At 43.6% G+C, this 25194-nt stretch overlaps 1 protein-coding gene and 1 pseudogene across 3 annotated transcripts in view, besides 6 other annotated features; both read right to left on the bottom strand.

Annotated features, from left to right (window-relative positions):
* SENP2 (SUMO specific peptidase 2) overlaps nt 1-21160 on the bottom strand; it is a 47257-nt gene extending 26097 nt beyond the window's left edge. For 2 of the 3 annotated variants that reach the window (NM_021627.3, XM_005247690.4), the window contains exons 1-6: nt 20941-21160; nt 17286-17341; nt 8910-9043; nt 8431-8497; nt 6600-6690; nt 957-1125 (exon numbers count right to left, since the gene is read on the bottom strand). In NM_021627.3, coding sequence (NP_067640.2) covers nt 957-1125; nt 6600-6690; nt 8431-8497; nt 8910-9043; nt 17286-17341; nt 20941-21041 — 618 coding nt within the window. In that variant the 5' untranslated portion in view covers nt 21042-21160. Of the gene's footprint in view, nt 1-956; nt 1126-6599; nt 6691-8430; nt 8498-8909; nt 9044-17285; nt 17342-20940 lie in introns of those variants that run through there. The other variant, XM_005247691.4, reaches the window with a different exon arrangement.
* Nucleotides 581-880, bottom strand: RPL34P10 (ribosomal protein L34 pseudogene 10; annotated as a pseudogene).
* Nucleotides 21064-21682: an enhancer, noted in NCBI's record as "H3K27ac hESC enhancer chr3:185303561-185304179 (GRCh37/hg19 assembly coordinates)". NCBI's record gives its function as "activates a minimal SCP1, AML or CMV promoter by ChIP-STARR-seq in primed H9 embryonic stem cells {active_cell/tissue: H9 hESC(primed)}" and the evidence as "EXISTENCE:reporter gene assay evidence [ECO:0000049][PMID:30033119]".
* Nucleotides 21081-21480: an enhancer, noted in NCBI's record as "active region_20928". NCBI's record gives its function as "activates an Ori minimal core promoter by ATAC-STARR-seq in GM12878 lymphoblastoid cells {active_cell/tissue: GM12878}" and the evidence as "EXISTENCE:reporter gene assay evidence [ECO:0000049][PMID:35858748]".
* Nucleotides 21521-21570: an enhancer, noted in NCBI's record as "active region_20927". NCBI's record gives its function as "activates an Ori minimal core promoter by ATAC-STARR-seq in GM12878 lymphoblastoid cells {active_cell/tissue: GM12878}" and the evidence as "EXISTENCE:reporter gene assay evidence [ECO:0000049][PMID:35858748]".
* Nucleotides 21683-22301: an enhancer, noted in NCBI's record as "H3K27ac hESC enhancer chr3:185302942-185303560 (GRCh37/hg19 assembly coordinates)". NCBI's record gives its function as "activates a minimal SCP1, AML or CMV promoter by ChIP-STARR-seq in naive H9 embryonic stem cells {active_cell/tissue: H9 hESC(naive)}" and the evidence as "EXISTENCE:reporter gene assay evidence [ECO:0000049][PMID:30033119]".
* Nucleotides 22302-22921: an enhancer, noted in NCBI's record as "H3K27ac hESC enhancer chr3:185302322-185302941 (GRCh37/hg19 assembly coordinates)". NCBI's record gives its function as "activates a minimal SCP1, AML or CMV promoter by ChIP-STARR-seq in naive H9 embryonic stem cells {active_cell/tissue: H9 hESC(naive)}" and the evidence as "EXISTENCE:reporter gene assay evidence [ECO:0000049][PMID:30033119]".
* Nucleotides 24067-24966: an enhancer, noted in NCBI's record as "OCT4-NANOG-H3K27ac-H3K4me1 hESC enhancer chr3:185300277-185301176 (GRCh37/hg19 assembly coordinates)". NCBI's record gives its function as "activates a minimal SCP1, AML or CMV promoter by ChIP-STARR-seq in naive H9 embryonic stem cells {active_cell/tissue: H9 hESC(naive)}" and the evidence as "EXISTENCE:reporter gene assay evidence [ECO:0000049][PMID:30033119]".

The following is a 25194-nucleotide window of genomic DNA, read 5'->3' as shown; positions in this document are numbered from 1 at the left end:
TGGGAGGCTGAGGCAGGAGAATCACTTGAACCTGGCAGGTGGAGGCTGCAGTGAGCCAAGATCGCGCCATTGCACTCTAGCCTGGGCAACAAGAGCAAAACTCTGTCTCAAAAAAAAAAAAAAAAAAAAAAAAAAGAATCTAATCTTATCTCTTCCTAATATGACTCTTTCTTCTTCCTTATAATAAAAATAACCACATCTAAAAATTGACTAAATTATATGTATATAGAATATCTATAGAAGAATACATATAGGTATCAGAGGTTACTTGCTTAGAAGTAAACATGGTGGTGGAAGCCAGGTATGGAAGGGAGTCTGAGAAATTTAGTTACCGTACATACTTTAGTACCTTTTGAAATATGTAACATATGCTGGAACGTGGGAGACAGAGGTTGCAGTGAGCCAAGACGGCACCACTGCACTCCAGCATGGGTGACAAGAGTCTCACTCTGTCTCAAAAAAAAAAAAGGAAAAAAGAAATATATAACATAGTAGATATATTATTTGCTCCCAAAAATATTCATTAAAAATTCTTTTTAGTCTTTTAATTTTTATTTCTGAAAAAAGTTTCATTTTTAAATTTAGCTGTCTGACTCTGTGTCTGTGCCTTCAATACTTTCACAACGATTTTCTGCTCCTCGATAAGCAACATGCTTGATCCTGTCACAGACTCACTGAGCACACGTGGCCGCTATAGGCCTTGCTAATGTGATCTGGACAATCTCATAAGAACTTTAGGTCTCATAGCATGAACCCCTCAAAGTCTGCCTGGGCACATGCTGCATGCAGATTTTTGGTGCATCTGGGTTTAAGACAGCCTCATTTTGTTGGAGGCTGTATTGTAGGAAAACCTACAATGGTATGTCAAACGTTGAACCATTCTGAGTGTCTCTAGGCAGCATCCTTGGGAAGAGCTGTAAAATTTTTTTTAAAGAAATCAAGCTGAAAAGGCTTACCTCCTCCACAGTACAATGGGGACGCCTCAGACCCTTGCCACTCTCTTCAGAAATCATCTCTGTTACAGCCTGTTCCTGAGGTTTCCACATTAAAGAACTCTCTGGATTACCTTTGCTATGGCGACGGCCACCTGGTCTTCTATTACAGCCTTCTGAGTTCAAAGTAAAACTGAGCAACAGAAAAAAAAAGAAAAAAAGTATCACCAAGCTGCTTAAATTGCTGGAATCTAAGCTCCCAGACCATCCTGTGATTAAGTTGCTTTAGGTCAAGCTTACTCCTGGCAAGTCAGACAAGTACAATTATGCAAAAGTTAGATCTATCCCTAGAGCACAGGGCACCGCAGCATTCCACTATGGAATGTCTGTTTCTAAACTAGAGCTGCCACACAAAGAGAGTCTCTGCCTTCCTCTTCATGCCCATTTCCAACCCCAACTCTAGATTTAGCTCTCCTATTGCATATACCCCTTCTGATACTGCATTTTTCCTTTAGTCACCTGGAACCACTGAAATTCATTACTGGTATGATTATTTGTTTAATGTCTATATTCCACACTAAACTTTAAATTCCATGAAAAGAGATTACATCCTTTCACCACTGTTATCTTAGTACAGGGTCTAAGCCAAAAGGCCCTCAATAAATATCTGCTGAATGCTAAATTAATAAACACTAAAGGAACTGAAGCCTGGAATTCCCACCCAGTCACAGCTGCTGGTGACAAATCTGCCTTTCCTGCCATTACCAACAATGCAACAAACTGACATCATGCCCCTCCTTCCTTGGGTGATGCTTTTGAAATGAATATCACTTATGTGGTGTTTCAAAAAAAAAAAAAAAGGCATAATCTGAAACAAATCATCAGTAAATATCAGACAAAATTACAATATTAATGCCAATGAACACAAAGAAAGGGCAAGGAGTTGTTGCAGAATAAAGTAGATCAAAGAGACATGAAAACTATGTGCAATACACAATCCTGCACTGGATCCTGTATTAGGAAAAAGAAAAAGCTATAAGAGAAAAATTTAAATAAGACCTGTAGATTACATAATAGTATTATATCAGTGTTAATTTCCTGATGTTGGTAATCCATGATCATGTAAGTGAATGCCCTTATTCTTTTTTTTTTCGACGAAGTTTCACTCTTGTCCTCCAGGCAGGAGTGCAATGGCACGATCTCGGCTCACTGCAACCTCCACCTCCCAGGTTCAAGCAATTCTCCTGCCTCAGCCTCCCGTGTAGCTGGGGTTACAGGCGCCTGCCACCACGCCCGGCTAATTTTTTGTATTTTAAGTAGAGATGGGGTTTCACCATGTTGGCCAGGCTGGTCTCAAACTCCTGACCTCAGGTGATCCACGCGCTTCAGCCTCCCAAAGTGCTGGGATACAGGCGTGAGCCACCACGCCCAGTCTTGAATGCCCTTATTCTTAAGAAATAAACAGATTCGGCCAGGCGCGGTGGCTCACGCCTGTAATCCCAGTACTTTGGGAGGCTGAGGCGGGTGGATCACGAGGTCAGGAGTTCAAGACCAGCCTGGCCAACATGGTGGAACCCCAACTCTACCAAAAATACAAAAATTAGCTGGGCGTGGTGGTGCATGCCTGTAGTCCCAGCTACTCGAGAGACTGAGGCAGGAGAATTGCTCGAACCCAGGAGGCGGAGGTTGCAGGGAGCCGAGATTGCGGCACTGCACTCCAGCCTGGGAGACAGAGCAAGGCTCCATCTCAAAAAAAAAAGAAAAGAAAAAAAATAAACAGACTCAAGTATTTAGGATTAAAGGGACATGAATCAAAGACTCTTAAATGGTTCAAAACAATATGTATATATGAGAGAATGAGAAAGCAAATGTAACAGAATGACAACTGGTGAATCTAGGTCAGGTTATTTGCCTAATAGAGCTTCAAAATATATGGAGACAAAAAAACATGGAGCAAAGACTAGCAAAGCTGAAGGAGAAATAGAGAAATCCACAATTGTGGTAGAAAACTCAATTCCTGACTCATCAATCAATAAAGAAGTTGACAGAAAAATCACTAACACCTGTAAAATATTATCAACCAACCTGACCTGACATTTAGGTCATTCTACCCAACAACAGCAGAATATGCATTCTTTTCAAGTGTACATGGAACATCATCCAACTGGACCATACTCTAGGCCAGAAAACAAACATTAAAAAACTTAAAAGAAACGAAATCATACAAAGCATATTCTCTAACCATAATAGAATTAAACTAGAAATCAATAACAGATATCTGCAAAGTCCCAAATATTTGGAAATTAAACAACATATTTCTATCCTTCTAAATCACAGGTCAAAGAGGAAGTAAAATAGAAATTAGAAAATATTTATTTACTTATTTATTTATTTATTTTTTTGAGACGGTGTCTCACTGTGTCGCCCAGGCTGGAGCGCAGTGGCCCAATCTCAGCTCATTACAACCTCCGCCTTCCGGGTTGAAGCGATTCTCCTCCCTCAGCCTCTCAAGTAGCTGGGATTACAGGTGTGTGCCACCATGGCCAGCTAATTTTTGTATTTTAGTAGAGATGGGGTTTCACCATGTTGGCCAGGCTGGTCTCAAACTCCTGGCCTCAAGTGATCTGCCCACCTCAGCCTCCCAAAGTGCTGGGATTACAGGTGTGAGCCACCACACCCAGCCTAGAAAATATTTTAAATTGAATGAAAATGAAAACCAACATTTCAAAATGTGGACAATGCACCTAAGCAGTGCTTACAGGGAAACAGCATTAAATGCTTAGAAAATAAGTTCACCCCTGACTAACTGTGTATCTCCTAAGAACAAGGGCATCTCTTATATAACCACAATATAATCACCAAATTCAGGAACTTTTGCAATAGTACAATGTAATATGTAGCCCGTATTCAAATATCTCTGAAGCTATTAAAAAATAACCTTCATAGCAATTTTGTCCCATCTAAAATCTAATCCAGGATCTCACATTGCATGCATTTAGTTACCAGGTATCTTTCATCTCCTTCAGTCTGAAACAATTTTTCAGCTTTTCTTTATCTTTTTAATGAATACAGGCCTATGGTTTTGTAGAATGGACCTTAATTTCAGTTTAACCAGCTTTCTCATGATTAGAGTCTATCGTTTTTGCAGGAATGCTGCATTTAGTTATGATGTCTTTCTCAGTGCAATACATTTGAATGCCATGATGTCAGTTTGTCCAACTGCTGGCAACTTCACTTTGATCTTTTGGTTAAGGTGGTGTCAGTCGTGCTTCTCCACTTTATTTTTCCTTTTGTAAGTAATAAGTAATGTGGGCTGGGCGTGGTGGCTCACGCCTGTAATTCCAGCACTTTGGGAGGCCGAGGCGGTTGGATCACCTGAGGTCAGGAGTTCGAGACCAGCCTGGCCAACATAGTGAAACCCCATCTCTACCAAAAATACAAAATTAGCTGGGCGTGGTGGCATGTCCCTGTAGTCCCTGCTACTCAGGAGGCTAAGGCAGGAGAATCGCTTGAACCCAGGAGGCAGAGGTTGCAGTGAGCCGAGATCATGCCACTGAACTCCAGCCTGGGTGACAGAGCAAGACTCCATCCCAAAAAAAAAAAAAAAAAAAGTAACGTGTAAGGAGATATTTTGAGTTTATGTAAATACCAGTGCCTCATCAAACTTTTTTTTTTTTTTTTTTTTTTTTTAAGACAGAGTCTCACTCTGTCACCCAGGCTGGAGTGCAGTGGTGTAATCTTAGCTCACTGCACCCTCTGCTTCCGGGTTCAAGCAATTCTACTGCCTCAGCCTCCCAAGTAGCAGGGACTACAGGTGTGTGCCACCACACCTAGCTAATTTTTCTATTTTTAGTAGAAACGGGATTTCTCGCCATGTTGGCCAGGCTGCAAACTTGTATTTACTAGTTTTGGCTCAATTGATGATTCCTGCCCATATCAGTTATTACCATGACAGTTACAAAATGGTGATTTTCTAATTTTATCATTCCTTCCACACTTACTAGTTGGCATTCTACTATAAAGATCTTTCCCTCCTCGACACTATATATTTATTTATTAGCATCTGAGTCCCTGTCTTTATTCATTTTGATGTTTAAATTATCCCATCTGGCCAGTGAAAGCCCCTTTGAAATCTCCTCCTCTGTCAGGGTGGCATGCCCAGTTTTTGAACACTCCTTTACTTTCTGGCACAAGATGTTCAGACTCACTTTATACTTTCTTTCCTAGCCCTACAATCAGCCATTTATTCAATTCCAGAGGGCGCTAGTTTTTAGTTTCTCATTCCTAAATATAAGTGGATAGCCAAGGAGTACCAAGTACTTGAATAAAGACTCTAACTTCAAAGATCAGACCAAAATAAACAAACATGGAGGGAGACGGCATAAACCAGAAGGGAGCACTCAAAACATATTTTAAAATAATAAACAGCTTTAGAGAGATAAGGAAAGATTTTGCATCCTTATAAGAACAAGATGCTTAGAGAAAGAAAAAAAACACTGGGAATAGGCAGGGGGAGAACTTTTCTAACTTAAAAACTGACAGTCAAAAAAGAATTAGTAAAAAATGTTTTTAAAAAGAGCAAGAAGGCCGCACGCAGTGGCTCACGCCTGTAATCCCAGCACTTTGAGAGGCTGAGGTGGGTGGATTACCTGAGGTCAGGAGTTTGAGACTGGCCTGGCCAACATGGTGAAACCTTGTGTCTACTAAAAATGCAAAAAATAGCTGGGCATGGTGGCACGCCCCTGTAAGCCCAGCTACTCAAGAGGCTGAGGTGGGAAAATTGCTTGAACCCAGGAGGCGGAGGCTGCAGTGAGCCAAGACTGTGCCACCAAACTGCCTGGGTGACAGAGCAAGACCCCATCTCAAAAAAAAAAAAAAAAAAAGCAAGAACAACAAAAGGAGAGAATGTATGGGAAAATTAGATCAATCTAGAAGGTCTAATGTCCAAGCAATAAAAATTCTACAAAGGAAAGTAAGAAAACTATTAATAATAACATTTTACAACTGATGGATATGACCAGTGTATGAAAATTAACCAGGCCACGTACACTTATAATTTCAGCACTTTTCTGTATGCATAATTATATTTTTAAGTTGAGAATAAAGTAAGTGGCAATTCTTTCTAAAACAATTTTCAAAATCAGATGCTATGGGCATATAATACAGTAGAAAATGTAAGGCCAGGTGCGGTGGCTCATGCCTGTAATCCCAGCACTTTGGGAGGCCAAGGTGGGTGGATTACCTGAGGTCAGGAGTTCGAGACCAGCCTGGCCAACATAGCGAAACCCCATATCTACTAAAAATACAAAAATTAGCCGGGCATGGTGTGGGGGTGCCTGTAATCCCAGCTACTCAGGAGGCTGAGGCAGGAGAATTGCTTGAACCTGGAAGGCAGAGGTCACAGTGAGCCAAGATCGCACCAATGCACTCCAGCCTGGGAAACAGAGCAAAACTCCATCGCAAAAAAAAAAAAAAAAAAAAGACAAGAAAAGAAAATATAACACACCCCTAAGTTCAAGTCTCTCACTGGCTGCATGACATTCAGCAAGTTACTAACCTCAGAGCGCTTAGCAGGACTACATAATACAACAAAAGTGAGACTGCCTAGCAAGAGTGAGCACCTAATAAATGCTAAGTTTCCATTTACAGAAAGAATTTAACACTTACCCAAAGGAAGGCAGGACTCTGCGTGGCTGATCTCGGGTAACTGTCACTCTGATCTTTGGATAGTCACTTATTCCATTAGGAGATTTATTACCTATTTAAAAAATGCATTTGTAATTGTAAAATGAAAAATCACTTGCAAACAGTCTGCATAAGGAAAGAAAAAAAATCTGTGAGCAACCTACATCATAGAGCTAAATCAACATCTTGTTTTTCAATTTCTATTAATAGCACAGGAGTCTAGCACAAATTTTGTAGACGTTAAAGGAAAGCAATAGGGCTTAGTTTGTTTTTGATCTCAGATAGGTAATAACAGAATTCACTGGCAGGCTTTGCTTGTTTTGCTTGATGGGACTGTTAAGAGGCCATGAAGAACTCAAAGATTATAACTCTCTGTAATCTAATCAATTGGAGTAAATTATTCAAATTCAAACCAGCCGTATGTTTGGCCGGTAACATACCTAAAATATGAAAAATTCTGAATTCCTAAACACATCTGGCTCCCAGGGGTTGCAGATAACCGATTATGGACCTCTTTACACAAGAAACCTGCCCTAGGAATACCTGGGCTTCTCTGACTAGACTACACAAAACTCACAGAAACACAGTAGTGCCAGCATCTCAGGCACAAATCTACCATCCTTCATATGTGTCAATCTTAACGGTAAACAATTCTAAACAAATATTCCAAACAGATGATGAAATTCAATTTATATTAACTTTTTAAATGAAATAAAAGGCTTCAAAGTAATATCATCTTTGGGCTGGGCGCAGTGGCTCACGCCTGTAATCCCAGCACTTTGGGAGGCCGAGGTGGGCGGATCACCTGAGGTCGGGAGTTCAAGACCAGCCTGACCAACACGGAGAAACCCAGTCTCTACTAAAAATACAAAATTAGCCAGGGTGGTGGCGCATGCCTGTAATCCCAGCTCCTCGGGAGGCTGAGGCAGGAGAATCACTTGAACCCAGGAGCTGGAGCCGAGATCGCCCTATTGCACTCCAGCCTGGGCAACAAGGGCGAAACTCCATCTCAAAAAAAAAAAAAAAAAGAAAGAAAGAAATATCAAGTTTTTAGGAACTAGCTTCTCAGACACAGGGGTATGTATTTATTCTCCTTTGCTCTTCTCTACTCCTAGAGGTACTTTTTAAAACAGTTTGAAAAGCACAACTCTAAGGCTTTTATCATTTCCTTATCTTCTTCCACTTTTGAATTTTAAACCTACAACTTCTCTAAGCTCATTTTCCTTAACTTCCTTCCCCCCCAACTTTACAAGCCTTCCTGAGTGGCAGACATCACAACTATTTCGCAGGATTCTGGCTTCTTCCTACTTTTCCCCACCATAGCATTTTGTATAGTGCATATATATAATAATGACAATTCCACTTCAGGATCTAAGGATGACATGGAAGTCCCTAGTCCATAAAACTGTGATAACTGGGAACCTAAGGCTGCTCCCCAACTAGATGATGAACTCCTAAAGGACATGAATAAGGTTTTATTATTTTGTTATTCTTGATAACTTAAGCACAGCACCCGGCACAGAGTAAGTTCTCAGGAAATGTTTTTGCTTTTTTGTTTTTTTTTAAATGAATGAACCTTTTTAATATGACCTTGATCTAAGTCACATTGAGGACACTGATAATACAAACAAAAAACAACAGTAAATTCAAAGACAACAATTCTGAAGAAAAGCTATTTGCTTTTTAGAACGGTAGAAAGAATGTCTTTCTCATCCCAATTCAAATCAGTGTTTTCCTTTCATATTTTCAAAATGTAGGAAAAAAATGGGCAGAAGGAGGTAGCGGGAAACAGAAATATTTTTGACCACCTCACCCAGTTTCAGCATGTTGTTCCAGGATCCAGAACCTGTCAGTTCACAAGATGAAGAGTTCGAAAATACCTTAAAATCAAACAGAATCACTTCTGTAGCATCTAAATTTTGTCACCTAAATAACTTTCTATTATGAAAAGATAACTTTTTCTTAGGTAGCTCACAGAAGAGATACCATCAATAAGACCTAAGGTTTAACTTGTCAAGACTCACAAAATGATGTAGAAATAACAATTCTAGTTTCTTTGTACATCCTTAAATAAGAAAGCATATGTAATAATATTTAGCTCTTTGTAAACATGTTTTAAATGTTCATTTTATTAACCTTTAATTTCTTGGCCTTTATAGCACAGCTAATAAAGATACAGATATTTCTGGAAAAAAGTAATTATACACATTAACTCTCGAAGAGAGAATTTTCTAAAATATAATGATTAAGTATAAAGATCAGTATTCCTAATGGAGTCTCATCCCCACTGACCTCTCCTGAAGGGGCCACATTCCGTGTTCCATTACAAGCAGAAGTTACCATGGGCTTTGTGGTCAGCTGGAATGGGAATCCAAATAAGCTGGCAGCATTGTAGAGACTGTTTTTCACTTGGTGAATAAAGCAATCTAGAAAGTGTCAACAAACTGTAAATATAAAGTAATAAACTTCCAGCTAAAAAATAAAATGATATCTTGGAAAGAGCCTCTCTCAATTTTTATCAAAAGTTCTATTTGCTGGGTGTGGTGGCTCACACCTGTAATCCCAACACTTTGGGAGGCTGAGGTGGGAGGATTGCTTGAGCCCAGGAGCTCGAGACCAGCTTGGGCCACCATGGAGAAACCCCATTTGTACAAAAAATTAGCTGCGGATGGTATCACACGCCTGTAGTCCCAGCTACCTGGGAGGCTGAGGTGGGAGGATCACCTGAGCCCAGAAGATTGAGGCTACAGTGAGCTGTGATTGTGCTACTGCACTCCAGCCTGGGCAACAGAGTGAGACTCTGTCTCTGAAAAACAAAAATTTAAAAAAGTCCTATTTTCAACCATTGAAATAAAAAGGTATTTATCAATATAATCCTTTCCTAGGTCTGGTGTGGTGGCTCACGCCTGTAATCCCAGCACTTTGGGAGGCCAAGGTGGGCAGATCACCTGAGGTCAGGAGTTGGAGACCAGCCTGACTAACATGGAGAAACCCCATCTCTACTAAAATACAAAGAATTAGCTGGGCGTGGTGGCGCATCCCTATAATCCCACCTATTCAGGAGGCTGAGGCAGGAGAATCGCTTGAACCCAGGAGGCAGAGGTTGTGGTGAGCCAAGATCGCGCCATTACACTCCAGCCTGGGCAACAAGGGCAAAACTCCATCTCAAAAAAAAAAAACTGGGCCAGACTTGTGGCTCTTGACTGTAATCCCAGCACTTTGGTGGGAGGCCGAGGTGGGTGGATCACTTGAGGTCAGGAGATCGAGAACATCCTGGCCAACACAGTGAAACCCCGTCCCTACTGAAAATACAAAAAATTAGCTGGGCATGGTGGTGCACGACTATAGTCCCAGCTACTCAGGAGGCTGATGCAGGAGAATCGCTGGAACCTGGGAGGCGGAGGTTGCAGTGAGCCAAGATCACGCCACTCCACTCCAGCCGGGGCGACAGAGTGAGACTCCATCTCAAAATAAATAAATAAATAAACAAATAAATAATATTTTTCTAGCTGAATAACTGGAATACCAGTATTGTAATTGTGTTTTTTAAATAAAACATCTGAATATAAAAACATAAAACCATCACTTTAGCAAATCCATACTGATTCACACACACACACACACTCAAAATGTTCTGAAATGACAACTTTTAAGCAGAGTTCTCCAGGATATATAAAATAAATTTTTGCTGGGCGTGGTTGCTCACGCCTGTAATCCCAACGCTTTGGGAGGCCGAGGCAGGCAGATCACGAGGTCAGGAGTTCAAGACCAGCCTGGCAAACATGGTGAAATCCCGTCTCTAAAAAAAATACAAAAATTAGCTGGGCTCAGTGGTGTGCGCCTTTAGTCCCAGCTACTTGGCAGGCTGAGGCAGGAGAATTGCTTGAACCTGGAAAGCAGAGGTTGCAGTGAGCTGAGATCGTGCCATTGCACTCCAGCCTGGATGACAGAATGAGACTCCGTCTCACAAAAAATAAACAAATAAATAAATAAATAAACTTTTACCACAGAGGTGAGGGCATGATTAAACAACAAGGAGCATATAGCCACCGAGTACGGCAGAATTCTACAGGAAGCACTGTCATAGTCTCACTAGCTTGTCCTTACTTCCCAGGCAGGTAACAATATACTGTAGTTGCCCTAAACAACTATTTACTAAGCCCGTATTATAGCTTGGCTAAGTAAAGTATAAAATATGCAGCTTTTTTTTTTTTTTTGAGACAGGGTCTTACTCTGTCACCCAGACTGGAGTGCAGTGGCATGATCACTACTCACTGCAGCCTCAACCTCCCAGGCTCAAGTGATCCTCCTACCTCAGTCTCCTGAGTAGCTGGGATCACAGGCATGCACCACCATGTCTGGCTAATTTTTTTGATTTTTTGGTAGAGGCAGGTCTCACTATGTTGCCCAGGCTGGTCTGGAACTCCTGGGCTCAAGTGATCCTTCTGCCTCAGCCTCCCAAAGTGCTGAGATTACAGGTGTATGCCACTGCACCTGGCCTAAAATATGCAGCTTTTAAACATCTAAGATAGAACAAGACTATCCCTCTAGTGGAGATGTGTTAGAAGATCTTAGGCTGGGCACGGTGGCTCAAGCCTGTAATCCCAGCACTTTGGGAGGCAAAGGCGGGCAGATCACTTGATGTCAGGAGTTCAAGACCAGCCTGACCATCATGGCGAAACCGTCTCTACTAAAAATACAAAAATTAGCTGGGCGTCATGGCACACACCTATAATCCCAGCTACTCTGGAGGCTGAGGCAGCAGAATCGTTTGAATCCAGGAAGCGGAGGTTGCAGTGAACCAAGATGGCACCACTGTACTCCAGTCTGGGCAACAGCGTGAGACTCCATCTCAAAATAAATAAATAAATTAGCTGGGCCTGGTGGCACATGCCTGTAATTCCAGCTACTTGGGAGGCTAAAGCAGAAGAATCGTTGGAACCCGGGAGGTAGAGGTTGCAGTGAGGTGAGATCACGGCACTGCACTCCAGTCTGGGTGACAGAGGGAGATCCTGTCTCAAAAAAAAAAAAAAAAAAAAATCTCAGGCTCACCCTTCCTTGCCACCAAAAATAAAAGGAAAGGGTAGGTTTCAGTGCTTTCCTCACTTCCTCCTTTTATTACACTACCTCTTTCTCACTTTCTATATATCTGATGTAAGCTTTCTACAATATCCTATGTCCTAATTAAGGGTATTTGAAGACGCTAGTTTGAGAAAAACAGAACATCACATTAGCCATTCTGCTTTAGAGAAAGATAGACTGCAATGGTAGCTTTTAAGCAGTGCTCCAGAACATGTAAACTACTTTCCAGAAACATAGGGGAATAACAAACAAAAGGGAAAAAGTAATGGCCAGGTAAAGCACAATCCAATTTGAGAAATTTGCTAATAGTTATAAGTACCAAACTATGCAAATGAGTTGTTTTTCATTTTAGGAATCAGAGAATTCCAGGTTATCCCCTTCTAATAGTGCTGAGGGATAGTACACACTCTGCTGCACTTTCTAAGGAGGAGAAGAAGAGCTTTAGCGATTGATGCTTAACCCACAGTCTGTCATCCAGACTCTAGAGGACAAGAAGCCTCTTGGTAACATAGCAAATTGTGGCTACTAAACAATATCATAATATTTATTTTCCTACGAATGTTATCAAAATCTCGGTATGCCCCTGAGATTATGTCAAAAGATCTCACTGATTTTTTTAAAAAACAGAAGGCCTGCCTCATCTGTAAAATGGGGAAAAGATCACCTTACTTCCCTGAAACTAGACTACATAGATCTCTTAAAATCTCTTTCACCTTTAAGGTCATGAGCCTGAGCCAGGTACGGTGGCTCACACCTGTAATCCCAGCACTTTGGGAGGCCAAGGTGGGTGGATCACTTGAGGTCAGGAGTTCAAGACCAGCCTGGCCAACACGGTGAAACCCTGTCTCTACTAAAATACAAAAATTAGCTGCACTTTGGGAGGCCAAGGAGGGTGGATCACTTGAGGTCAGGAGTTCGAGACCAGCCTGGCCAATATGGTGAAACTCCGTCTCTACTAAAATATAAAAATTAGCTGGGCATGGTGGTGCACACCTGTAATCCCAGCTACTCAGGAGACTGAGGCAGGAGAATCGCTTGAACCTGGGAGGTGGAGGTTGCAGTGAACCGAGATTGTGCCACTGCACTCCAGCCTGGGTGACACAGCGAGACTCTGTCCCAAAAAAAAAAAAAAAAAGATCATGAGCCTGAAATTCTGAGGTCTTCTTTCTTTTCTTTTACCCTTGCTTTGCTTTTTTTTCTCTCAAAAGCAACCAATGGAGTTGTACTGTCCAACACAGTAGCTAGTAGCCAGATATGGTTACCTAACTTAAAGTTTTATTAGAATCAAATAAAGTTTAAAATTCAGTTCCTCAGTTGAACTAGCCACATTTCGAGTGCTCAACAGTTATCACTGCAGGAAGTTCTCTTGGGCAGCACTTTACAGGCCTTTACAAACTCTGCTACCCACCGCTTACCCTTTGGTTTAGATTCCCTTCTACAATTTGCCATTCAGAAAATCATACTACATATTTAATGGGAATGATGCAATAAGTGATCCTTAACATAGAATCCATAAAACAGATGATTGTCCTAAATAATTAAGTCAGAAACCTTCTGTAATACCAACGTTTGTGTGTGTTTTTTTTTTTTAACCACATCCAAGTACAAGCTATTTATATTTTTCTTTAAAACTGACTTCCTTTTTTGGCTTAAAAAAAAAAGATAATTTTAAATTACTACTGTATATGTAAAGCCAACATCACCTGCCTTATAAAGAAATGAAAACACAGCCGGGTGAGGTGGCTCACGCCTGTAATACCAACACTTTGGGAAGCCGAGGCGGGCGATCACTTGAGGTCAGGAATTCGAGACCAGTCTGGCCAACATGGTGAAACCCTGTCTCTATTAAAAACACAAAAATTAGCCGGGCATAGTGGTGGGCGCCTGTAATCCCAGCTACTCGGGAGGCTGAGGCAGGAGAATCACTTGAACCTGGGAGGTGGAGGTTGCAACAAGCCAAGATCGCACCATTGCACTGCAGCTTGGGCAACGAGAAAGAAACTCCGTCTCAAAAAAAAAAAAAAAAAGAAATGAAAACACAATAATACTAAGTTCTAGTTGGGCCTGTTAAAAAATGGGAGATTAGCATATATTAGACAAGTATTGAAGATATACTAGCATTAAATCAAGATTTTCTGTGTGAAATAAACAGGATGTGAGCACCTCAAATAAATAACTGAAAAGGATACACCTTTCTTAGTACATAATCATCATTCAAATGTTACATAATGCTGTGAATGTTGAATCCCCTAAAATCATTTCCTAAATTGGTATCTATCCTGTGCTTTGGGAAATACTGTTCTAATGAATTTAGTATAAATTCCTGTCATTTGAAAATCCTTGGCCGGGGATGGTGGTTCACGCCTGTAATCCCAACATTTTGGAAAGCCAAGGTGAGAGGATCACTTAATTAAGCCCAGGAGTTCGAGATCAGCCTGAGCAATATAGCAAGACCCTGTCTCTATTAAAAAACTAAACAAAACAAAACAGAACGATAATTTGATCTACCTGTCTTCAGCCATTTTTTTTCCCTGAGCTCTATTCACTATTTCTTGAATTTACACAACTTTCCCATACTATTCCCTCTGCCTAGAATATTTTTCCTTCCTATTGCTCTCCTTTGATATCCTATCCATCCTTCAAGACCTGGGCTAACATACTAACTCATACTAACTCCCGCAAACATTTACTGAGACTCGATGAGCTGAAAATTGGATAGGATTTTGTTACTATCTTTGTTTTTTTATTTTTTATATTTTCATTGACATTAGCATTATTATGTGATTGTCTTATACCCCCTACCATATTATCATATAAGGTCCTTAAAAATGGAGACCCAGGCCGGGCACGGTGGCTCACGCCTGTAATTCCAGCACTTTGGGAGGCCAAGGCAGGTGGATCACTTGAGGTCAGGAGCTTGAGACCAGCCTGGCCAACATGGCGAAACCCTGTCTCTACTAAAAATACAAAAATTAGCCGGGTGTGGTGGTGGGCACCTGTAGTCCCAGCTACTTGGGAAGCTGAGGCAGGGGAATCACTTGAACCTGGGAGGCGGAGGTTGCAGTGGGCCGAGAATGTGCCATTGCACTCCAGCCTGAGCAACAGAGCAAGACTCCATCTCAAAAAAAAAAAAAAAGGAGACCCTGTCTTACTAATTTTTGTATTTTCTGTAAAACCTAACACATTGGTTAGCACTGAGACATGCTCAATAAGTACTCACTGAATTTAAACGAAATATTAACACAAATATGTCCACACTCAATTACCACATCTGGAGGTAGACCCAAATTTATAATCATTTTTGAGAAAGAGGAATATATTATTATAGCATTTTACTATGCCTTTTTCCTTTAATCTACTTTTATTTTCTTTATCCATTCAGATATACTGAAGTAAAAGACTTGGCTGGGCACAGTGGCTCATATCCATAATCCCGGCACTTTGGAAGGGCAGGAGTTCCAAGATCAGCCTGGGCAACATATGGAGACTCAGTATCCACATACAAAATAATTTGCCAGGTGTGGTGGTATGGGCCTATAGTCCCAGCTACTCAGGAGACTGAGGCAGGAGGATTGTGTGAGCCCAGGAGTTTGAGACTGCAGTGAGCTACGATCGTGCCACTGCACTGAAGCCTGGGCAACACAGTGATACCCTTGCCTCTTACAAAATTAAAAAAAAAAATTGTTGATGACAAGATCAAGACAGAGCAAGATCCTGTCTCAAAAAAAAAAAAAAAAAAAAAAAGAAATATTACCGGTTCTTAAAGACAGGAGTATTCTTTCAAAATGCCACTGCTGCCTATTTTCAGCCTGGACAATGTGGCAAGACCCTGTTTCTACAAAAAAAATACAAAAATCAGCTAGGTGTGATAACGTGCCTGTAGGCCCAACCAACTACTTGGGAGGCTGAGATGGAAGGATCACCTGGGCCCAGGGAGGTGGAGGCTGCAGTGAGCCATGATTATGCCACTGCATCCCAGCCTGGGTGACAGAATGAGACCCTGTCTCGAAAAAAAAAAATAGAAAAGATGGGTTCCCTCAGCCATCTGAACTAGAGTCACCTCAGTTTGAAACATTTACAACATTTCCTCCTTAAAAATAAGTAGGGCCAGGCGCGGGGGCTCACGCCTGTAATCCCAGCACTTTGGGAGGCTGAGGCAGGTGGATCACGAAGTCAGGAGACTGAGACTATCCTGGCTAACATGGTGAAACCCCGTCTCTACTAAAAATACAAAAAATTAGCCGGGCATGATGGCGGGCGCCTGTAGTCCCAGCTACTCAGGAGGCTGAGGCAGGAGAATGGTGTGAACCCGGGAGGTGGAGGTTGCAGTGAGTCGAGATTGCACCACTACACTCCAGCCTGGGTGACAGAGCGAGACTCCATCTCAAAAAATAAATAAATAAGAAGTATCTTTTCTTTGTAGAATGATTTAGAATTTTAAAATGCACAGTCTACACCTAGGCTTATTTACCTGCAAGGATTAGACAAGTCCCTGGTAACAGTAGTTACCTCTAGAAAAGATAAGAAAGGGATAGGAAAGAGACTTTCTTGGGTTGGGTGCGGTGGCTCACGCCTGTAACCCCAGCACTTTGGGAGGCCGAGGCGGGCAGATCACGAGGTCAGGAGATGGAGACCATCCTGGCTAACACGGTGAAACCCCATCTCTACTAAAAATACAAAAAAACTAGCCAGGTGTGGTGGTGGGTGCCTGTAATCCCAGCTACTCGGGAGGCTGAGGCAGGAGAATGGCGTGAACCTGGGAGGCAGAGCTTGCAGTGAGCCGAGATTGCGCCACTGCACTCCAGCCTGCGACAGAGCAAGACTCTGTCTCAAAAAAAAAAAAAAAAAAAAAAAGGAGACTTTCTTTTTTTTTTTTTTTTTTTTTTTTGAGATGGAGTGTCGCTCTGTCGCCCAGGCTGGAGTGCAGAGTGCAGTAGCAGATTCTTGGCTCACTGCAACCTCCGCCTCCCAGGTTCACGCGATTCTCGTGCCTCAGCCTCCCGAGTAGCTGTGACTATAGGCGTGCACCACTTGGCTAATTTTTTAATGTTTAGTAGAGATGGGGTTTCACCATGTTGGCCAGGCTGGTCTCAAACTCCTGACCTCAAGTGATCCTCCCACCTCAGCCTCTGAAGTGCTGGAATTAAAGGTTTGAGCCACCACGTCGGGCCAGGAAAGAGACTTAAGTTTTTTTGTTTTTTTTTTTCCTGACACAGTCCTGCTCTGTCGCCCCAGGCTGAAGTGCAATGGCACCATCTTGGCTCACAGCAACCTCCACCTCCCAGGTTCAAGCGATTCTCCTGCCTCAGCCTCCCGAGTAGCTGGGATTACAAGCTCCTGCCACCACAGCAAGCTAATTTTTGTATTTTTAGTAGAGACAGGGTTTTGCCATGTTGGCCAGGCTGGTCTCAAACTCCTGACCTCAGGTGATCCGCCTGCCTTGGCCTCCCAAAGTGCTAGGATTACAGCCACTGCGCCCGGCCAAGACTTACTTTTTACCAGATACTTTTTACCTTTTGAATTTTGTTCCATGCATATATTTTTCCTATTTAAAAACTAAAAATTTTTAAAATTTATATTCAGTACCTAATCTTGGTCTTTTGGCTGGTATTTCATCAGTGTCCACTGTAGAAAACAGAGTGCTGAAAAAGAGAAAGAAAAAAATATATATATATAGATTTACACACACATTCATTTCTGTAAGTAAACTTACTATTCATATAACACATCCCCCTTCTATCACTTTGTCATAAAATGAGATCCAACTGATGTTTTAAAAGAGAATGCTGGTGGGACACAGTGGCTCGTGCCTGTAATCCCAGCACTTTGGGAGGCCAAGGGGGAGGATCGCTTGAGCCTTGGAGTTTGACATCAGCCTGGGCAACAAAGTAAGACCTCATCTCTACGATAAAAAAATAAATAAAAAATTAGCCAGCCTTGGTGGTAAGTGAGTGTGGTCCCAGCTACACTAAGGCAGGAGGATCACTTGAGCCCAGGAAGTAAGGCTGCAGTGAGCCCAGGTCATGCCACTGCACTCCAGCCTAATCAAAAGAGTGAGACCTTGTTTTAAAAAGAAATAAAACTAAAAATAAAAGCAAAACAAAAGAGAGAATGCTATTCTATAGTAGGCTTTTCACATGCGAAGACTTACTGCTACAGTTTCAACTATTTGAGAGAGAAACAAACTTCTTACCAAATAATAATTTGCCATCTGGTTAAAGTACAAACTTAAAACTGGCCAAAGTCACTTAGCTAGTAAATGAACCCAGGTAAGAGTTTAGGACAGTATTTTCTCTTTCGCTCCAGAAATGATTTAAAAACAACAAACAAGCAATTTCCTTTTGAAAATGATCCCCAAAGAAAGCCATCTTTTACTTTAGGTGACAGTATTAATATGAACAGCCTTAAAAGACAATTCTTTTTTACTGTTTTTTCTTTTGTGTGTGTGTAAGGGAGTTAAAAAAAACTGTTCTACAACTTAAAAAAGACAAATCTTAATCAAGTGTTATATTTAACTTCATTTTTATCACGCAAACTACATTATGATGGTAATAAAGAACTTTGGAATTGAGGAAAGTTTCAGGACCCAGATGTCAAGAATGCTAAAGGGTCATAGTATATTACTCATCATCTCTCTGAACCCTTATGATCAATTATATTCACACATGCAAAAAAAAAAAATGAATAGAATGAGATCCCAGGATTCCATTCAGCTCATAACTTTATACATTCCAACAAGCCCTGCCGGGCTTCATTTTGACTGAAAATTGGTTTACACTGAGAAGTGTTGTTTTGGATTAAGGATGTGAACACCTAAAGTATAGTAAAGATCAAGGTTTTGATCGCCAAACCATGTTCCACTGACTAGCAGGGATTCACATCAAGGAGAGGACAAGGGAGAGGAAATTAGCTTTCCCTTATTCCATAAATAGGGACCAAGTGCTTATCATGCACCAGACTCTGCAAAAGGCCCCAGAGTAGGACAGACAAATACTACCCTTATATACATTAAGCATCAGTTTAGGCACTTTACACCACGTTCTCAAATGATCCTTATATCAACCCAACGGAAAGATAGGAGAGAAAAATAAGGCAAAACCATGTATCTCTGGAACACACGATGCAATTTAGCCAACAACCAATCTCATCAATAACCTGCATTCTCAGACTAATGTATTAGACATCTTGTTCTCTCAAGCTCCCACAAATGAACACTTCTTCCACTTTTCTTGATATTGAGGCTTAATTTAAAAAATGAAATTAACGGCCGGGCCCGGTGGCTCACGTCTGTAGTCCCAGCATTTTGGGAGGCCGAGGCGGGTGGATCACGAGGTCAGGAGATCCAGACCATCCTGGCTAACACGGTGAAACCCCGTCTCTACTAAAAAATACAAAAAATTAGTCGGGCGAGGGCCGGGCGCGGTGGCTCACGCCTGTAATCCCAGCACTCTGGGAGACCGAGACGGGCGGATCCTGAGGTCAGGAGATCGAGACCACGGTGAAACCCCGTCTCTACTAAAAATACAAAAAATTAGCTGGGCGTGGTGGCGGGCGCCTGTAGTCCCAGCTACTCGGGAGGCTGAGGCAGGAGAAAGGCGTGAACCTGGAAGGCGGAGGTTGCAGTGAGCCGAGATCGCGCCATTGCACTCCAGCCTGGGCGACAGAGCGAGACTCCGCCTCAAAAAAAAAAAAAAAAAAAAAAAAATTAGCCGGTAGTGGCCGGGCGCTGTGGCTCAGGCCTGTAATCCCAGCACTTTGGGAGGCTGAGGCGGGTGGATCACGAGGTCAGGAGTTCAAGACTAGCCTGGCCAAGATGGTGAAACCCCGTCTCTACTAAAAAAAATACAAAAAATATAAGCCGGGTGCAGTGGCAGGCGCCTGTAATCCCAGCTATTCCGGAGGCTGAGGCAGAAGAATCGCCTGAACCCAGTGGGCAGAGGTTGCAGTGAGCTGAGATCGTGCCACCGCACTTCAGCCTGGGCAACAAAATGAGACTCTGTCTCAAAAAAAAAAAAAAAAAAAATAGCCGGGCATGGTGGCGGGCGCCTGTAGTCCCAGCTACTGGGGAGGCTGAGGCAGGAGAATGGCGTGACTCCCGGAGGCAGAGCTTGCAGTGAGCCGAGATTGCGCCACTGCACTCCAGCCTGGGGGACAGAGCGAGACTCCTTCTCAAAAAAAAAAAAAATTAACACTTGATCACTAAAGTTGAAGAGGGGGCATAGAATTTGTATAGTATTTTATTTTCCAGATTTTTAGGTAAGGAGGTCGATACAATAAAATGGGACACTCCAAAGAGTAGATGCTAAATAAGAATAGCTTTTGGGGCTGAGTGCAGTGGCTCATGCCTGCAGTCCCAGCACTTCCAAAGGCTGGGGTGGGCGGATCACTTGAGGTCAGGAGTTCAAGGCCAGCCTAGCCAATATAGTGAAACCCCATCTCTACTAAAAACACAAAAATTAGCCAGGCGTGGTGGTGCACACCTGCAATCCCAGCTACTTGGGAGGCTGAGGCAGGGGAATCGCTTGAACCCAGGAGGCGGAGGTTGCGGTAAGCCGAGATCGCACCACTGCACTCCAGCCTGGGCGACAGAGCAAGACTCCGTCTCAACCAAAAGAAAAAGAAAAAAAGAAAAGAATAGCTTTGCGTTTCCCCCAAATTTTAACCGAATTTAAGAGTACAGACTAGTGATTGTTTTAAAGGAGTGAGGCACCTAAGCCTTTTTACTCATTCACTAATTCTAAAGCACAAAACCCTTCTGGCCCCAAACACACAGACTGTTTGACAGCTGTTTTGGAACAAAACAGGTGCTGTTTCTTGCTGCAAGGACAGTACTTGCAGTCAAAACGGCTTTGGGCAAGCTATGAATCTCACTTCAACTGCACTTAATGTCTGCAGATGACACTTGCGAGGGTGCTTTGTAAACAGTGAGCCACAACAAAGACAGTATTCCTTCAATGTTAGTGTTCAGCCTAAGAGCGGCAAAGCCCCATTTGTTATCAGCAACCAGCTTGGCCTCTGACAAGAATGTCAAAGACCCTGCCATCACCGGCCGCTACGAAGACGACCAGCTCCTCCTTCATCAGGAGCTGCCTCCCTACAGCCTGGCGGGAGCGACTACGTCACTAGGATCCCGGCGACCTGTTTCGGGTGAGCCTGGCTGAATCAAAGCTATCACGGCCGAGGAGCCCGCTGTGGGGGAGGGGGTAAGGCCAGGCTGGCGCTCAGCCCCCTCTCGTCTCACCTGTCTGAGCGCCGCCTCTTCAGGAGGGCCCGGGCAGGGGGCACCGACCGGTCGCAGAAACGGAAAATGGTGCCGAGAATCCTAACCAGCCATCTGTACATACCAGGCCCAAGCAGCAGCGGCGGCCGACACACCCCGAGACGCAAACCCCAGAGCTGTCGCCGCCGCTGCCGCCTTCGCCGTCTTAACCACCACCGCCAGAGTTCGGTCGCTGATTTGTGACGCGATTCAAGAGCCCACAGATACAGCGTCCCCAGGGCTACCAGAGGCCCCCGCCCGCCACCACTCCTGACGTCACCTCCTCCCGCCCGACCGGAAAGCTCCATTCTCAATCTGCGCACGCGCAACCTAGCACCGCTCCCTATTTCCGAGCCCAGCAACAAGAGTAATTGTGGGACGGTCCCGGCCCAATCGCTGACGAGATCGGAAGGGCTGTCGGCAGGGTTTTCTCTTCGGCGGAGCCAATCCGGAGCCGGCCCGTGGGACAAGGCCCACAGGCCACATGTGAGGCTGCTCCACTCCGGAGGAGGCGTTCCGGGGTCCCAGAGGACATTAGGTGCTCAGTGTTTGCTGAATGCACATGTAAAGGTAGATCAGGTTAATTAACACACGTTTACCGTTTTAGGCGCCCTTTATTTTGCACTTACCTTTTGCCTCGTACTTTTCACGCATTGTCACCTTAATATGCCCAGCAATGGCGTGTGACAGAGAGTCTTAAGCCAGTTTTATAAGTCAAGGAAATTGAGGCATAGAGCGATTAAGTTATTTGTCTAAGATCACAAAACTAGCTAGAGACGTGGCTGGAACTTGAACCCGGGGTCTGAGTACCAGCGCCAGTCCCTCGCCCTTGAGGTCAGTCTACTTGGAGACATGTACATAGATAATTACAAATTACAATACACCGTAAGTGGTTGCTGTGATAAAGGTATGTGCAGAGTGCAGTGGGAGCCAGAGAAAGGAAAACCACACACTGAGGGAGAGAAGGAAAGGGCAGATGTCCTCAAGAAAGGCTTCACAGAAATTTAAGGATGAAACCTGCGGCCCACTAATGTCTCCTACCCTGGGCTAGTAAGTAATGAGTCTCGTTACTCTCCCTCTATAATTCCAATGTCACACTTCTAGTTAATTGTCAACTATAGGCCGGGCGCGGTGGCTCCTGCCTTTAATCCCAGCACTTTGGGAGGCTGAGGTGGGCAGATAGCTTGAGCCCAGGAGTTTGAGACCAGTCTGTGCAACATAGTAAAACCCCATCTTTACAAAAAATACAAAAATTAGCCGGGTGTGGTGGCACGCACCTGTAGTCCCAACTACTTGGTAGGCTGAGGTGAGACGATCACTTGAGCCCAGGAGGTTGAGACTGCAGTGAGTCGTGATCACGCCACTGCACTCCAGCCAGGGTGACAGAGTGGGACCCTGACGCACCCCATCAAAAAATTATCAACTGTAAAACAAATCCCACCCTATTTAGTGATAGAAAATCCAGTCCCCTCTTCCAAACAATCCTAAGAATCCTCAAAGGTTTTCATGCCCCACAAATCCATTCCTGATTAACTTGTTTCCTACTTGTGATTCAGTTAAGGCCAGAGTTTTACACTTGCTTGAACTTCAACGCTGGCACTCCCCAGTACAGCCTCTTCCTTTCCTCAATAGACAGCATTCCAGGCCGGGTGTGGTGGCACACGCCTGTAATCCCAGCATTTTGGGATGCCAAGGCAGGCGGATCACTTGAGGACAGGAGTTCAAGACCAGCCTGGCCAACATGGTGAGACAACCCCATCTCTACTAAAAAAAAAAATACAAAAATTAGCCAGGCATGGTAGTACACTCCTGTAATCCCAGCTACTTGGAAGGCTGAGGCAGGAGAATCGCTTGAACCTGGGAGGTGGAGGTTGCAGTAAGCGGAGATTGCACCACTGCACTCCAGCCTAGGCAACAGAGCAAGACTCTGTCTCAAAAAATAAATAAATAAAATAAATACATGTGTGTGTGTATGTGTGTGTGTGTGTGTGTATGTGTGTATATATATATATATATATATATATATATATATATATATATATATGTAGCATTCCAGAATTGTGCTGCAAGCCACCCCCTAGAGCTTCAGAATCACCAGCCACACACCTGAAGCTACCACCACTCTGGCCTCGGGGGCTGGGGTCATATCCTAGAGGATGGAAGCAAATCCTAAGTGTGGACACACCCGCCTCCCTTATTCCCCTAAGCATAGCAAACACCAACCAGGCTGTTGCTGAAAGTTTGGGGCATTACAAAGCTGAGAAGACTTAGAAGTGGCTATTAGATTATGTAGCATCTATAGTCCCTGGCCTATTGTCTCGCAAAGGAATTCCCTTCACCTCAAGGCCATCCCTTTACTCGTAACACCTTTGGCAAGCTGCCAACAGAAGGGACTTTTCCCTCTACCTCTACCCCGACTATTTCAGGCTGGACTCCCCGTAAATGTAATCAAGAGTCAGGACTCCTATTAACAAAAGACAGTCATTGGCATTATTGTGCAAAGCAGTTCAGTTACGTCTGTCCCTTCCACTCACTATTGAGAGTTGGGCTTTGCCTTTGCCAAACCAAGAAGCCCGCTCAAGTACTGGGAGAGGATTCTCCCAAATAAAAGAGCAGTCTTCATTTAAACACGAATCATACATCCTAAGAGAACAATTTTTTTTTCCAAGTTAAAAAACACACACACACATAAATCAGAAAACTACAAGCTCTGCCAGGCACGGTGGTTCATGCCTGTAATCCCAGCACTTTGGGAGGCCGCGGCAGGCGGATCACGAGGTCAAGAGATCGAGACCATCCTGGCCAACATGGTGAAACCCCATCTCTACTAAAAATTAACTGGGCGTGGTGGCGCGTGCCCGTAATCCCAGCTACTTGGGAGGCTGAGGCAGGAGAATCACTTGAACCCGGGAGGCGGAGGTTGCAGTAAGCCGAGATCACGCCACTGCACTCCAGCCTGGCGACAGAGCGAGACTCTGTCTCAAAAACAAAACAAAACAAAACAAAAAACCTACAAGCTGCTTTTGAATAGCAACTTATCCCAGGTCTGGCCACTGAGATTTAAGAAATACTGTGGTAAGCTAGGTGTGGTGACTCACACCTGTAATCCCAGCACTTCGGGAGGTCCAGGCAGAATGATCACTTGAGCCAGGGAGTTTGAGACCAGCCTGGGCAACACAGGGAGACCTGTCTCTAAAAAAAATTTTTTTTTAATTGGCCAAGAGTGGTGGCATGTGCCTGTAGTCCCAGCTACTTGGGAGGCTGAGGTGGGAGTCAAGGCTGCAGTGAGTTGTGATTTCACCACTGCACTCCAGCCTAAGTGACAGAGTGAGATTTATAGTCTCAAAAAAAAAAAAAAAAAGAAAAAGAAAGAAATATATTGGGGTCACACTTGATAGCCCTGCGGTGCAACACAACAACACATTTTTTTTTTTCTTTTCCTGCCTCATAAATAGCACCCTTACAAACTCAATACTGAAACATTGGCCATCTGCCAGGAAGAGTGAGAAGGCTTCAGAATTACAGATCTCAGTCAGAATCTCAGGACCCCATCAGCAAACAATAACTCATGAATCGAATGTGGCAATCCTCAGCCTCCCACCGTGCATGCTCCCTCCATATCCCCCTAGTTACCCTCTAGAAGGAAGAAAAGGAGACGCATCCTTATACTCGCTCCCACCTGGGACTTGTCTGCCAGTTGGTGCCTTCGCTGTCCTGTGGTCCACAGTAGAGACATGGGTGACTGTCCATCCACTGGCCAAGGAGTGGGATTATCCTTAACCCCAACCCCACCACTGCCACAGCCTTTCCGGGACCTAGCAGCGCTTTACTGGAGGGCCATGGGAGAATCCCAAGGCCATATGGAGTAACAAGGACATTGAGATTTCTGCCCTTGGCTTGGATAATTTGCAGCCTTGTACTGCAAGAGGGGCACAACCTCATCGCTTAAGCTTTCGCAGGTGTTCCAATCAGATGCCCCAGTTCTCCAAGAAGATCCTTATCCCCTTTCAGCTCAGAGCAGCTCCTTGAAGCCTTTTCAGGGCCCCACCCCCTTCTTCCTCCAAACCTACCTCCCCTCCAATCCATTCTTTAGTCTTGCAAATTTCCCCTTTTAAAGCATTCAGAGAACTTTAACAAACTTCTTCTCAACTTTGTTTTTCCTGACCCCTGGACAGAAAAGAATTCTAGGCCATTTGTTGGAAAGGGTAAGGGCCCCTAGAGGAGGTTGTGTCGGGT

The sequence above is a fragment of the Homo sapiens genome, chromosome 3 (assembly GCF_000001405.40).
Source record: "Homo sapiens chromosome 3, GRCh38.p14 Primary Assembly".
Taxonomy (NCBI): Eukaryota; Metazoa; Chordata; class Mammalia; order Primates; family Hominidae; genus Homo; species Homo sapiens.
Note: the sequence above shows the minus strand (reverse complement) of the source record. Positions and strands in the feature narration are given on the sequence as shown.